The sequence below is a fragment of the Homo sapiens genome, chromosome 21 (genome assembly GCF_000001405.40).
Source record: "Homo sapiens chromosome 21, GRCh38.p14 Primary Assembly".
NCBI lineage: Eukaryota > Metazoa > Chordata > Mammalia > Primates > Hominidae > Homo > Homo sapiens.
This window is the reverse complement of record NC_000021.9, coordinates 19,285,944-19,302,600: the sequence shown is the minus strand read 5'-3', so window position 1 is coordinate 19,302,600 and position 16,657 is coordinate 19,285,944.

Sequence of the window (16,657 nt, the reverse complement as noted above, 5' to 3'; positions counted from 1 at the left end):
AGTAGGTATGAAGAGGAAAGGCCAACTAATGAATGTATATAGAAAACCCAACAAGCAAGATAACAGAACATTTAACAACTAGAAAGAAGGATTAATATAAGAAGAGCAGATAGGAATTTAACAATGAACAAAGGGAAGAAAAAAGAAAAAGTAAAAGAAAGAGAGAAAGAAAGAAGGAAAGAAAAAGAAAGAAAGAAAAGGAAGGAAGGAAGGAAGAAAAAGAAAAAGAAAAGAAAAGAAAAGAGAAAGGAAGGAAGAAAGAGGAAGGGAGGGGAGGGGAAAGGAAGGATGAAAATCTTTGCTACAATTATTCATAACCTCAGTGATTTTCAGGATTCAGTACATTCCTTACTTGAAATGGTCGTATTTGAATCTGTGGATCATTCCATCCTTAAAACTTTAAAATTGGCTCAACTAACACAAAGTCATTGAATTACGTCTCAAAAAGACTTTCCCTTTCTGGATTCTGGTGTGTCTGCCATGCTTATCACATCAGTTTTCCTCAATAACTCTTCTTCTCTGCTCACTGTGTATAATTTATGGTCATATGGTCCTAGTATCCCATTACAAATCAATCCAGTGACAGTCCTTAAATTCATGTCTGCCACTGTGGCATCACAAAAGTAATTCTTACTGGCCATGATCATCTTAATATTACATGCAGGTCCAGTTTAACTCTACTACAAACGTTTTCACAGGTACCATTTTGGTTCAGGTACTCACCTTTCCTTGCCTGGAATCCCTCCTTATGATTCTCCTCATTTTCATATTTTCCAATTAAAAAATATTTTTATGTTCCATCCAATTTATCCTCCAACCACTTTCAACCTTTTGATGCATCGTCATTATTTCCAGAATAAACTCAATTTTTGTAGCATAGTATATAAAAGCTCCATTAAGAATTCCTTGACTCTTTTTCTAATCTTAGTTCCTATAATTTCTTGCACCATTCTACTCTTTTCCATCCTCTAACTTTCTCGGACTAGTTACAGTTCTGTGAGAGAAAAAAATGCAAAAGAAAAAACTAATGACCTTTTTCATAATGAAGAAATTAACCTCTTTAGAACTTCCACATGATAGTTTATGTAACCATGGATATTCAACAATTTGTCATTTTAAGAATTGTAAATTAATTAAATCCTGCACTTTGAACCTATTTAATGATTCAGACACTAATGAGAAAGCACACTTAGAAAGCCATTGTGTGTCAGGGGAATTAAGTAAATTTGTATGTCTCTGTTAGCATAGTTGAGTAATACTATTTATTTCCTCTTATTGGGAACTGCAGAGAATACAAATCATGACCTCTCTTTCAGGGTTGATTCTGATTCTAGGGATTAATATGTTAGAACACAGAATAAAAGGTAATTCTTTATATTAACAAGAATTTCCACTGAGTTTTTTGCAAAATTTTAAATAGAGGCATTATATATTATTGTATAAACATTTAATTATAAAATAGAGGTCACTGTTTATGCTTTGCTTTCCTAAAATAACATCCGTTAAAAATACAATACTGATTATATAATAAAACTTGCTTCCATTTATAAGTTGACCAACTTTGTAATTGCAAAATTGTCAACGAAATTGAGTAAAAATGCCCAGAAGAGATTATGAAAACATGAATGTTTTTTCGTCTCCCACAGCATTTTAAATATTACAACCCATTTCTCTTTCAAATAAAAATGAAATATTATGAAATTCCCAAAGAAAGTATGGCAAAGTATAATCTAAAAGATGTGCTTATCTCATGCTGAGGGAATGCTGAGGTAACTATAAAAACTTTTGCTTTTTTAAAAAATAATTTTTTTAGGTTATTGATCTACTCCTGGTTTGAGTATTATAGAATTATTTCATCATCTTATGTGATTTTTCACACTTACACTGTCATTTAGCTAAGCTTAAGTGCATGGATCCTCTTCTATTCTTTTGCCTTAACATCCATGGCAAACTAAATTGGTTTCCTAACATTCCCTGGATAAGGCAAAAAGGAAGGGACTTGTTTTGCTCATAATATCCAAACAATACCTAACTCACAGCAACTATTAATTTCCTTTTTTTATTTTGATTTTTCTTCCTTTTCCAATGCCAACTTCCAAGGTAATCATATGCACAAATAATATTTGTTACATATATTAATAATGACTTTCAAAAAAATTATTCTCCATAAAATTATGAATGCTAAATATTCAAAAAATAAATATAGAACAGCCATAATCAGAGATATCTGCCTGAAAAGATTTCCACTTTCAAATGTTGATCCAAAATATTCATTGAATCACAGCATAGAATATGTTAGAATATTTAATGTTGCAATCATATTGCATTCAAAGGAACTTCTGACCTTTAGAATTTAGCTGGCCAGAACTTGAAGACTGCTTTTACACTCAAGCTAATAAAAGTTTTTGAAGAAAACATTGTGAATTTTATATTTTTATAGCTGACAAAAAATTCTGGAAATACTGTGATTTATTTTAATAACTAAAAACCTTGAAAGATTTTAATATTGAGTATTATTGTTAACACAAATAGAGACACTAATCCAAAAGAATACGTAAATGTTACACAATTATGGATCTAAAAATGTAAAAGAAGAATCTTAGTTTTTCATTACATATGGCACTTCAAAGATAGAGAAAAGCTGCAAGTTATAATACAGGCACAAGTATATTAAAACATGTATATTTAACAAGGTAATTTTCTGCTATGCATATACATTTTCTAAGTTTTAGTTTTCATTTACAAAATTATAGAAGAGTGAAAAGCAAACTGGGTAAAATAAAGCATATTTTAAAATAAAGTTTTTAATATTTATTTGAAACATTTGATGAATTTTAGAAATTAATACTATTTATTTTACATTATTGGCATAGAACTATTATTTGACACTTATTAAGATTATTGGAGAGTTATTGATTTACTTGAGATTTAATAAGTGAATTTTTTAAAGTGTATTTTTGATGATACATAAACAGAAATTAATAGTATTGAGTTGTTACAAATCTTCTGCAATAGTTTTCTGAAACTTTTTTCTATTTATAAAATAATTTTGTGAAAAATTAAAGTATAGGTTATAGATAAAATGGGGGTTGTTTCAGAATTACAATATCAAGAATAATGAAAAAAATTAAAGTTAAACTTTTACATTCACTTATTTATTTTGCTGGTATGTTTTTTAAAGCAACTGTTTATGTGCCGATATTCCCAGATTTGATGAGTGCGTATTTCTTTAAGCTACTTCTTGTGTCTTTACACAAAAATATTGATAGCAAAGTGGTTTTTTTTTTTTTTTCCTGGTACAACAAGAAGTCCTGGGCTCACTATGTGACATTCATGTCCACAACTGAAATCAGCCACTTCCCCAGAGAGCCCTGGTTTATTTTCATATAGGAGTATGAAAGCCAAATTCCGGCCAGTCTGAGTGCCTGCTCATTGTTCACTAGGTGGACAGACTACAGGTAAAATTATACAGACATGCAGATATATACACAAACACAGACACATAGATCTGGTCAAAGATTTGGAGTATGAAAATGAGCTGATGGGTGATATTTAAGTTTTGACTTTTTATCAGCATTTTCTAGCATGTCTACTACTTAAAATTTTTATGTAAGAAAGGTACATTTTGTATTGTAATGTAATCATCTGTGATGATTACATTTACATTATCTATCTCTAATCATTTTGTATTTAAATATCTATAAGCACAAGGAAAAGCTGAAATTCATTTTTTTAGTTACATTGCACCTCATAAACAATTCACAACTAGCTTTCAAGATTTATGTTACTTCATTTCAAGAGTAAAACACAATCTGTTATTCAAACAGAAACCACGTGTAACATAAAAGGTTAAAAAATCTGATTAATAACTAGCCTTGAATTCATAGGTTAATATTTATGGCCTACGTCTGAACTAGTTCTTAGATATGAGGTATCAATTGAGTGATAAACGATAAACTAAAAACTTGAGGAGAAATTTGTGAGTATAGCAAAGACTTTCAAGAACATATATTTGCTAGGCACTGTACTTCTATACATCACTTATATGTAGTCTTAAGAATCCCAGCTGCTGAGCATTTTCCTGTTTTACAGGAAAAGAAACAGAAGTATTCAGCAGATTAAAATCTATTTAAATATTACTGTGATCTAAAAAATTCCCAAGTCTATTGAATTGAGATGTAGTATGTAAACTTTAAAAAATTGTTATTGATAATACATAAACACAAATTGTATTGATTTGTTACTAAGTGTTTTTACAATAATTTTCTGAAACTATTTTTTAAAAATTTTTATTTTATTTTAAGCTTCGGGGTACATGTGCAGAATGTGCAGGTTTGTTACATAGGTATACATGTGCCATGGTGGTTTGCTACACCTGTTGACCCCTCACCTAAGTATTAAGCCCCCTACACATTAGCTATTTTTCCTGATGTTCTCTTTCCCCCCAAGAACTCCCTTCTGCTTACAGGCCCCAGTGTGTGATGTTCCCCTCCCTGGGTCCATGTGTTCTCATTGTTCAGCTCCTACTTATGAATGAGAACATGTGGTGTTTGGTTTTCTGTTCTTGCATTGGTTTGCTGAGGATAATGACTTGCAGTTCCGTCCATGTCCCTGCAAAGGACATTATCTCATTCTGGTACAACAAGAAGTCCTGGGCTCACTATGTAATGTTCATGTTCCATAATTGAAATCAGACACTTCTGATGTGTGCATAGTATCCCATGGTGTATATGTACTACATTTTCTTTATCCAGTCTATGACTGATGGACATTTCGGTTGATTCCATGTCTTTGCTATTATGAATAGTGCTGCAATGAACATACACATGCATGTGTCTTCATAATAGAAAGATTTATATTCTTTTGGGTTTATACCCAGTAATATGATTGCTGGGTCAAATAGTATATCTGGTTCTAGGTCTTTGAGGAATCGCCAAACTATCTTCCACAATGGTTGAACTAATTTACAGTCCCACCAACAGCGTAAAAGCATTCCTAACTCTCCACAGCCTTGCCAGCATCTGTTGTTTCCAGACTTTTTAATGATCGCCATTCTGACTGATGTGAGATAGTATCTCATTGTAGTTTTGATTTACATTTCTCTAATGAAGACTGATGTTGAACTTTTCTTCATATGTTTCTTGCCCACATAAATGTCTTCTTTTGAGAAGTGTCTGTTCATATCTTTTGCCCAGTTTTTAATGGGATTTTTTTTTCTTGTAAATGTGTTTAAGTTCCTTGTAGACTCTGTATATTAGACCTTTGTCAGATAGATAGGGTGCAGACATTTTATACCATTCTGTAGGTTGTCTGTTCACTCTGATGATAGTTTATTTTGCTCTGCAGAAGCTCTTAAGTTTAATTAGACCCAATTTGTAAATTATTGCTTTCGTTGCAGTTGGTCTTGATGTTTTTGTCATGAAATTTTTGCCTGTGGCTGAATGGTATTATCTATATTTTCTTCTAGGGTTTTTTATAGTTTTGGGTTTGACATTTATGTTTTTAGTCCATCTTGAGTTAATTTTTGTATAAGGTGTAAGGAAGGAGTCCAGTTTAAATTTTGTGCATATGGCTAGCCAGTTCTATCACCATTTATCAAATAGGGAATTTTTCCCCATTGCTTGTTGTTGTCAGGTTTGTCCAAGATCAGATTGTTTTAGATGTGCAGTCTTATTTCTAAATTCTTTACTGTGTTCAATTGGTCTGTGTCAGTTTTTGTACAAGTACCATGTTGTTTTGGGTGCTGTAGCTTTGTAGTATAGTTCGAAGTTGGGTAGCGTGATGGTTCCAGCTTTGTTCTTTTTGCTTAGGAGTGTCTTTGGTATACAAGCTATTTTTTGGTTCCATATTCTGTAAAGAATGTCAATGGTAGTTTGATGGGAATAGCATTGAATCTACAAATTACTCTGGGCAATATGGCCATTTTCATGATATCGATTCTTTCTCTCCGTGGGAATGGGGTTTTTTTCCTTTTATTCCTTCCTCTCTGATTTCTTTGAGGAGTGGTTTGTAGTTCTACCTGAAGAGGTCCTCTACTTCACTTGTTAAGTGTATTCCTAGGTATTTTATTCTCTTTATAGAAATTGTGAATGGGAGTTCCTTCATGATTTGGCTCTCTGCTTATATGTTGTTGGTGTATAGGAATGCTTGTGATTTTTGCACATTGATTATAGGATCATGTCATCTGCAAACAAAGACAGTTTGACTTCTTCTCTTCCTATGTGAATACCCTTTATTTCTTTCTCTTGCCTGATTGCCCTGGCCTGAACTTTGAATACTATGTTGAATAGGAGTGGTGAGAGAAGGCATCTTTGTTTTGTGCTGATTTTCAAGGGTAATGCCTCCAGCTTTTGCCTATTCAACATGATATTGGCTGTAGGTTTTTCATAAATGGCTCTTATTATTTTGAGGTATATGTCCTCAATATCTAGTTTATTGAGAGTTTTTCACACGAAAAGATGTGGAATTTTATCCAAGGCCTTTTCTGCATCTGTTGAGGTAATCATGTGGTTTTTGTCTTTAGTTTTGTTTATGTGATAAATTACATTTATTGATTTGTGTACATTGAACCAGCTTTGCATCCTGGGGATGGAGCTGACTTTATCAAGGTGAGTAAGTTTTTTGTTGTGCTGGTGGATTCTGTTTGTCAGTATTTTATTGAGGATTTTTAAACCAATGTTCATCAGTGATATTGGCCTAAAGTTTTCTTTGTTGTCGTTGTTGTTGTTGTTGTTGTTGTTGTTGTATCTCTGCCAGGTTTTGGCATGAGGATGATACTGGCCTCATAAAATGAGTTAAGGAGGAGTCCCGCCTTTTCAGTTGTTTGGAATAGTTTCAGAAGAAATAGTACTAGCTCCTCTTTGTACCTCTGGTAGAATTTACCTCTAAATCCATCTGGCCCTGGGCTTATTTTGGTTGGTAGGCTATTTATTATTTCAAAACTTGTTATTAGTCTATTCAGTGATTCAACTTCTTCCTGATTCAGGCTTGGGAGTGTGTATATGTCTAGGAATTTATCCATTTCTTTTAGATTTTCTAGTTTATTTGCATAGAGATGTTTATAGTATTATTTAATGGTTTGTATTTCTGTGGGGTCAGTGGTCATATCCCCTTTATCATTTTTTGTCTATTTGATTTATCCCTTTTTTCTTCTTTATTAATCTATCTAGTGGTCTATTTTATTATTTTTTTCAAGAAACCAGCTCCTGGATTCATTGATTTTTTGAAGAGTTTTTCATGTCTCTATCTTCTTCAGTTCAGCTTGGAGCTTGTCTTTTTCTTGTCTTCTGCTAGTTTGGGGGTTTGTTTGCTCTTGGTTCTCTAGCTCTTTTAGTTGTGGTGTTAGGAGGTTGATTTGAGATCTTTCTAGCTTTTTTATATAGGGATTTAGTGCTATAAATTTTCCTCTTAACACTACTTTAGTTGCATCCCAGAGATTCTTTGTTCTCATTAGTTTCAAAGAACTTCCTGATTTTTGCCTTAATTTCACTATATACTCAGGAGTCATTCAGGAGCAGGTTGTTAAATTATCATGTGATTGTGTGGTTTTGAGTGAGTTTCTTAACCTTGAGTTCTAGTTTAACTGTGCTGTGGTCTGAGAGGCTGTTTGTTATGATTTCAGTTCTTTTGCATTTGCTGAGTGTTTTTACTTCCAATTATGTGGTCAGTTTTAGAATAAGTGTCATGTGGTGCCAAGAAGAATGTATATTCTGTTGTTTTTGGGTGGAGAGTTCTGTAGATACCTATCAGGTCCACTTGATGCAGAGCTGAGTTCAGGCCTCCAGAATATCTTGCTAATATTCTGTCTAATATTGACAGTGGGATGTTAAAGTCACCGACTATTATTGTTTGGAAGTCTCAGTCTCTTTGCAGGTCTGTAAGAGTTTGTTTTATGAATCTGGGTCCTCCTTATGAATCTGGGTCCTCCTGTATTGGGGATATATATATTTAGGATAGTTAGCTCTTCTTGTTGAATTGAACCTCTTACCATTATGTAATGTCCTTCTTTTTCTTGTTTAATCTTCATTGGTTTAAAATCTGTTTTGCCAGAAACTAGGATGACGACCTCTGCTTTTTTCTGCTTTCCATTTGCTTGATACACTTTCCTGCATCCCTATATTTTGAGCCTGTGTGTGTCTTTGCACATGAGTTGGGTCTCTTGAATACAGCACATTGATGGGTCTTGACTCTATCCAGCTTGCCATGTGTCTTTTAATTGGGGCATTAAGCCCATTTATATTTAAGGGGAATGAGAATAGGAAATGCACTCCAAACAAAAGTTGTTGTCTTACTATGAAAATAAAGTCTCTCAAGTAAACACTTTCAGGAGAATATCATATTTGGGTTGGCATATTTTAATATTTCAGAAAAGTCAGAGTGTAGACAGGTTGTATCTGATGCAAACTTACATAATTAAATATTATATTTCAGGGAATAAACCACATTATCAAGGAATTACATTTTCCATAGTTTCAATTTATATGAAATAGCAATGAAAAATGGTTTTTATTTTTCTTTTATATATGAAACCCAGTATAAATTAAATAAAAGTTTGAAAGTAAAATTAAACATTTGCCTACATCTTTTTTATAATGTACATTGTTGAGAAACGAAAGCGGGCTATGTTACCAGAAATCCTGACTTCTGGTAATGCGTAATGTAGCCATCTAATACTGATGGATGTTTTTTACTGGTTTACCCAAGATTTGCTGAGTTCTTATAATGAATTCGGAAAAGCTCTGTGAACAGGAAGACAATCAGTGTTCAATAGGTAAATGATGTCATTAACAAAAATATATTAACAAACCCCCTTCAGGGTGTGATAAATGCTGTGAAGGGAATAAATATGGTGACAAGATTAAGTGTAAGTGGGTAGTGAATATTTAGTTTCACAAAATAGCAACGGAGATGAAGAATGATGAGAACTAGGTATTACATTTGATGGAGCTGATGTGAAGCAAAGGAGTCTAGGACAGTTTATTTGCTTGAGTTTGCAAGAACGTGGAGCTATTTTATTTATTGCAATGGAGAAGATTGGGAAGAGTTCTGATTTGTATGTTTTTAACTTGAATATGCACTTGTGACATTCAAACGAAGTTACTGTGAAGGCAACTGGCAATATGCGTAGAGTATATAGTCATTAAGAATATTCACATGTAAATCTCCAGCCAGCATAGATGTATAAATATGTAAACTCGATTCACGAACTTCTTGTCATTGTGGTACAAATAATTCACATCTGGTTGCACCTTTCCCACCAAACAAATAACACTGTTAGATAAACAGAAAGAACAACTAAACAAATATTGATGAGCTCTGAAGCAATACAAATATTTCTGTGCTCCACAAATGGAATAGAAACACATAGTGGCAGAGATTGTGGAAAACTGAATATTGGTATGTGCTAGATTACAGTTTCTAAAGCAAGACATGGATAAAGGGGAATAAAAATAAGCCTAAAGAGACAACGGCCTGATCCTGTATTATCAACTGAAACCAGACTTTGTGGTCTTGAAATGGGACTGAAAAAAAAAATGCTGCCAAACTTTCTAAGGATCAAGGGATCGTGAGTTTACTGCACACCTTTGCGAAGCAGAATGTAGCCATATGATCTGCTGATCTGCTATATTTGTCCTTGGATGTGAAGAAAATCAACCACACACACACACACACACACACACACGAGAAATAAAAGAAAAATAAGAAAGGAAGGAAGGAACGAAGGGAGGGAGAGAGGGAGGAAGGAAGAAAGAAAGGAAAGGAGGGAGGGAGGGAAGAAAGGAGGGGGTGAGGAATATAATTCACATTGGAATGTGAATCCATTTCAAATAAAATGTATTTAAGGCCTGATAAAGATTCTGAATTAATGATATGATGTTTTTGAAAGATAAATGAAGCTACCTGGAAGCTGGATTGTGAAGGGCAACAAGTCAGAACAAAAAATTAAAAATGAAAAGAGTGGAGAAAGTCCACAGTTAAGAAAATATTGCTAATTTGAAGCTACCTGGAAGCTGGATTGTGAAGGGCAACATGTCAGAACAAAAAATTAAAAATGAAAAGAGTGGGAAAAGGCAATAGTTAAGAAAATATTGCTAATTTTTTTAAAATTAATAAAAAACATGATATCTCATATTGAATAAATACTTTATAAATCAAATACAAAAACAGAAATTGACAGTGCACCAAATTCCATCAAAGAAAAAAATTACTGGATGAATTAAACAGGTGAGGAAGAATTTATTCAAGATTTTTCAATAGGGGTCAAGATTATTGGCATAAAGAAGGGAGATTCAATTCAGTTGAAAGAAAAGACAGGAGAGTTCTAGAGCTTTGGGTTAAACTAGTGGAAAATTTAGGGGCGAGTTTGGTTAATGTGATTAGGCCGCCTACGTTTGCTAATTGTAGCTTACTGAAATTAGGCACTTATTCACCCACAGAAAATGAAAGATGATGACTTTTCAAAAGCGTGGCTCCAAGGTCCTTGAGAAAGACACTGCTGGGCTGTAAAACTGACAAAAAGGCTAGGAGAAGATTTGTGTCTTAAAGGGGTAGAAAAAGAATTAATAATTGCAAGTCTTCTCATATAAATGCTCTAAGAAGACAGTTCAGGGTCCTGTAGCAAGAAATTTGTCATCTGTTTAGTTAAACTGAGGGTCAACATTAATGCCATCCTGGTAAATTCAAAGAGAATAATCTGAAGAGCAATAGAATAAAAAGTATTGCAGACTAACAACACGATTTTGCCACTAAGTACACTTAGGGTACGCTCCACAGGTAAAAGAATGCAATTTTAAAAGAAAGAAACAGGAACAGGAAGCAGTACTGAGCAAAGAGCTTGGTAATTTCATGGGTAAGTCTAAATAAGAAGGGCCCAAAAAACAGGCCAACTCAAAATAAAACTAATTTCTAATAGGTTAAAAACAATTATGAATTAGTATATCTAACAACTAAGATCAAATATTTTAGTGGGTTCAACACAATTTATGAGAAAATTCTTGTATCTTTCTTGTGCAAGAGCAGAGGGACATCACCTTTGTATTTTAAATATTGAATGCATATTAACATCGTATTGATCAGAAACAAATTTATATCTTTCAAACTAATAAGGAAAAAAGTACAATATCAAAGACTTGATCATCTCAACAGAAAGCAGCAAAAGAATAAAATGGTAGCAAAGAAAAACAATAAAGAATAGAAAAAACATACAGTAGAAAATACATTTTGAACATGTTTATTATCTGGATATTACATGTATGTAATAAATATAGAATAACAAATACAACAACGATAATATAATTTTTTCTCCAAACGAAAGGGGCTAATATAACTTTTTGGCTTCATCTATTTGGGCTGCAATAATCAAATAATTTAAACAGAATAGCTTATAAACAACAGAAATTTATTTTTCACCTATTTGGAGGCTGGAAAGTTCAAGATGAAGGCACCGCCAGATTCAGTGTCTGGTGAGGTCCAGCTTTCTGGTTCAAAGATGATTCTTCTGACCGTGTCTTCACCTGGTAGGAGAATCATAAGGACCTTATTCCCATTCATGAGGGTTCCACCTTCATGACTTAATCATGTCCAAAAAGTCCCTTCTCCTAATACCTTGAGGGTTAGGATTTCAACATATGAATTTTTGGAGGGCACAAACATTCAGTCCATTGCAACCTTTTCTTTCTCATAAAAATAATATCTGATGCAAAAACACAAATACAAGTTCCAAATCTGGAGAGTGGTGTAACTTCTGAGCACTTATAATGAGGCTACCTCACCAGAGGAACTGAATTTTTAATTTTATTTCATTTTAGTTAATTTAATTTAATTTTAATTTGATTTTACATCACTTCATGTGGCTAGTGTCTGCCTTATTGAACAGTACAGTTCTAGAGTACAACTGTATAATAAAAACTACATAAAAATGGAATATGGTATAATAGAAAGAATAGGTCTTTGAAAGTGTCAGGTCTCTGAGAACTCAAGTGTAGAAGATATTCAGGTATCAAGGGAAAGAATTGGACTTGAAAAGACCTACTCATTTTTCTGAAAAACAATACAGATGGAATAATTATGCAAATCAGCAAATTTTTATTAAGAACTAATAAGCAGGGACCTGGGTGATAAGTTAACCTACACATATAGAGTTTACATTCTGTTGGAGAAAAAGATAAACAGGTATTTAAATAACATGAATTCATCAGAGATAATTCCTTTGAAGAGGCCAGTGTTAAGGTGGTCATTAATGTCTTCTCTGAGGAAGGGATGAAAAAACAATCTCGAATGATGTAAAGGAGACAGCTAGCTAATAGTAAGGAAGATCATTATAGTGGGGTAAAATATGAAATTGATAGGCTTTGGGGACAGAACACAAATTGACAGGTTTGAGACAGACAGAAACATTATGTAGGTTCCAGCAAATAAACAATGAGGAAACTGATGAGGTTGGACAGACCGGCTGCAGAGAGACCTTGTAGGACATTCTTGGGCTTGCAGAAGATGGGACAATGAGAAGCCATGTAAGATTTTATTTTTTAATTTGTGTAAGTTTAAGGGGAACAAGTGCAGTTTTGTTACCTGGATATATTGGATAGTGGTAAAGTCTGGACTTTCGATGTATCCATCACCTGAATTATGTACATTATACCCATTAAATAATTTCTCATCCGTCACCACCTTCCCACCCTTCCAAGTGTTCAGTGTTACAATTCCACACTCTATGTTCATGTGTACACATCATTTATCTCCCACATATCACTAAGAACGTGTGGTATTTGACTTGCTGTTTCTGAGTTGTGTCACTTAATATAACAGCCACTGGCTCCATCCGTGTTGCTGCACAAGACATGATTTCATTCTTTTTTATGGCAGAATAGTATTCCATGGTGTATATATACCACATCTTTATTCAATCATCTGTTTCAATATAAAAGTGAGATGGTCATCTTACAGTATTTATTTTCTTCAAGTACTTATGGAGCAAATATTGTATGTTCTGACTCAAGACATCTTTCAAAACTTTTGTAACTTGTTGATGGGAAGATTTTAGAAGAACAAGAGTAGAAGCAAGCAAAATAATTCCTTCACTCAGCAAACAATTATTGAACAATTGCTATGAGCCAGGCACTATTCAGGACATTGGGAACACATCAGACATGCATTGTAATATTTCAAGAGGATTTCAATATTTCTTATTGTTTTCATTTTATCCCCAAGCTAAGGGCTATAAAATGCATGGATAAAAATCAGTTTCAAGGAGAAAATAGCAATACATATTATATGTAAATTAACAACATGTAGGTAGATATAGACAGAAAAGAAGGAGAAAGAGACAAAGAAGGAAATGAACAGGAAGAAGAAGAAGAAGAAAAGAATTTGAAGGGGAGGGAGAAGAAGAGGAAAGGAGAGGAATGGGAGGAAAGTGAAGGAGGAATAAATCTAAAACAAAATAAATGATTCCCAAAACCAGAAGATAAGTCTTGGTTTTATGTTGTTTGTACATGTGTGCTTACAGTGTTTGAACAATCAGATAATCTAGTACCGTCTGGTGCTATGTCTTAAATTTACTAATGAAACATAGGATGCAATTTGCCCAGCCTTTCTCTCACTCCACTTTCTATATTCGCCTTACTTTTTTCATGTATTCACTTTCGTATGTATGTATGTATGTATGTATGTATGTATGTATGTATGTATGTATTTTTGAGACGGAGTCTTGCTCTGTCGCCCAGGCTGGAGTGCAGTGGCGTGACCTCGGCTCACTGCAACCTCCACCTCCCGGGTTCAAGCAATTCTCCTGCCTGAGCCTCCGAATAGCTGGGACTACAGGCACCCACCACCACACCCAGCTAATTTTTGTGTTTTTAGTAGAGCAGGGGTTTCACCATGTTGGCCAGGCTGGTCTCGAACTCTTGGCCTCGTGATCTGCCCGCCTCGGCTTTCCAAAGTGCTAGGATTACAGGCGTGAGCCACCAAACCTGGCCCTGTTCACTTTCTTTGACACAACCCTTGGAGATTTTTGGCACCACTCTTTCTAGGAGGTATTTTCATTTTTATCTACCCATTCCCTTGAGAGGTCTATGAATAGCTACAGGGGCCATAACATTTGCCTAATCAAATTCTGAATCATTTTGCCTTTTGTTGAGATGGGAAATACGCTTCATGATACTAATGAAATCACAAAAATGATTCATTAATAGAAATATATGTCTCTATTAAGTATAATATAAAATTAAATGTGAATTCAAAAAGGTCTCTCACATTTTACATTTCATTTATTTATTTCAGTGTCGCCTAAAGATCTTTTCTGCATACAACATGCATTTGCAGGTTATGTCTTCTTGTTATTGAGAAGGATTCTCATCAAGTCCCATGTTAAGAATAAACATGTCTGGTTTTGCTTTACTGTCTGCAGAGTTGAAATGGACACTACACAATCTAAGACGAGTTTCATCTGTGGCCATACTGCCCTGAATGCATCCATTCTTGTCAAGACAGAGTTTTTCTGCTGTCTATCTCTATTTTATCCTAAGAGTTGTATGCATTTCCTGTACACATTACATCAATTTTTTTTTTTTAGATGGAGTCTCCCTCTGTAGCCCAAGCTGGAGTGCAGTGGCGCGATCTTGACTCACTGCAACCCCCGCCTCCCGGGTTCAAGTGATTATCTTGCCTCAGCCTCCCAAGTAGTTGGGATTACAGGCATGCACCACCACACCCAGCTAATATTTGTGTATTTTTAGTAGAGACGGGGTTTCACCTGGTGGGCCAGGCTGGTCTCAAACTCCTGACCTCAGGTAGATCCACCCACCTCGGCCTCCCAAAATGCTGGGATTACAGGCGTGAGCCACAGCGCCCAGCCACTTACATCAAATTTTAAAAAATTATTAGTATGATAAGAAAGTAAAAGAAAAAGAAAGTAGCATCTATCTCACTGAAACACATATTAGTTAGGTTGAGAAACAGGATGGCTTTTCATGTGGAGTTTAAAATGCTGTCTTTTCCAATTAAGTTCATATTGTTTTGAAATATCTGCTTCTTCAGTTTTCTAATTACAGAGCAATATCACCCTTCAAATATCTAAAATCCATTTAAATAATAGGTTACTTTCTAAAATGTTAAATTTATCGTCTCTATTCTCTTTCAAATAAATAACTCTTCAAGTCGTTGATTCAATATTTTAAAACAGGGAAAAATACACAGATGATCTTGATCAGAATTGGACTTACAACCATTTCATAAAGGCATATTAATAAAATATTTATGAATATGAAATCTACTCTTCAATAATTAACATTGGTCCCTTTTAAAATATCAGAGCATTGGATCCAGGTTGATTCATAAATGAATGAATTGTTCCTTTCTAAAAGTGAGTCACTGGTATATTTGAATGAGAATATTCCTCAAATGGACTCTAGTGACCTTAAATGCTCACTAAAAATATGAGTAATTTAATCATTTGTAAGAAAAAGTCCATTACAATGCCAGGATAGAAGCCACAAAGAACTTTATGTCAGGATAATGCATGCCTTAAATTGAACGTGAACATCCTGAAAGTTAGTACAGTCAATGGAGCAATTATGTAATGTTCTCAGTTGGAATGATAATCAGGTCTCCATTTACATTTTCTAACAGCTAGCGTAAAATATGCACAGTATTTACCAGTGTACTTAATTGGTCCCAAAAAGTCTCTTGGAATTCTCCCTCCATCTGGATCTCTTGTTTTTAGGCAGATACTTTCCTTAGTTTATTGTAATAGTATCACTTAATATATGAACGAATAGGAGAAACATCATACATTGATAATTATATGACATATTCCAAAAAAAAATAAGTGAAGCCTTTAAGCATGTTATTCTCTCCAAGGGAATAAAGAGAAATTAAAATTAATTAAGATCAGTTTTTTAGGCATATTATGAGCTTTTCAATAAAACATAAGCTTAGTTTCATATTGTAAATATTTTGGACTTTTATCCCACCAATTATCAAGACAGCAATTTCTTCTTCCTAACTAGAAATCTTCTATCCAACACTTGAAAAAGGTAATAGAATAAGGATAATAGTAATATCTAGACCATAGGATTTTCATGGGGATTAAATGAGAGACTAAACACACAATGCTCAATTAAGTTTTTCTTAGATTAAGAAGTTTTCCACACTTTTTGCACTTAAGACTAAATTCACAATTTGCCCAGATAAGGCTCAGTTTAATCCTCTTGTTCTGGAATTCTATCTAGTAAGTACATCTTGTCATTTTCAAAAGAGTTCCAATTGATATGATAAATGAACAAATAAAAGCTTTAGGATAACCGGAACAGCTTTTTTATTTTTTATTTTTTTTGCACAGTGCATATACAGATGCACTGTATATGTGGATCTGGATCTGGATGTCACATATAAGGATCTGGATATCACATATGTATCGATATGGACATGGCTATCACATGGATAATGGTTGTTTTTGCACAGTTTATTGTTTTCCCATTAATTTTCAATGCCACCTGTGTCATATATCTGGTTGTTATATATTTGTACTTCTTTCAATACACCATATATTCTGTTTGCTAGATCAATTGCTTATTTCACACTCATATTATACTTTTTAATTACTATAAATTTATTGTATATCCACAACTAGATTATCTCACTCAACTTTTGTAGCTTA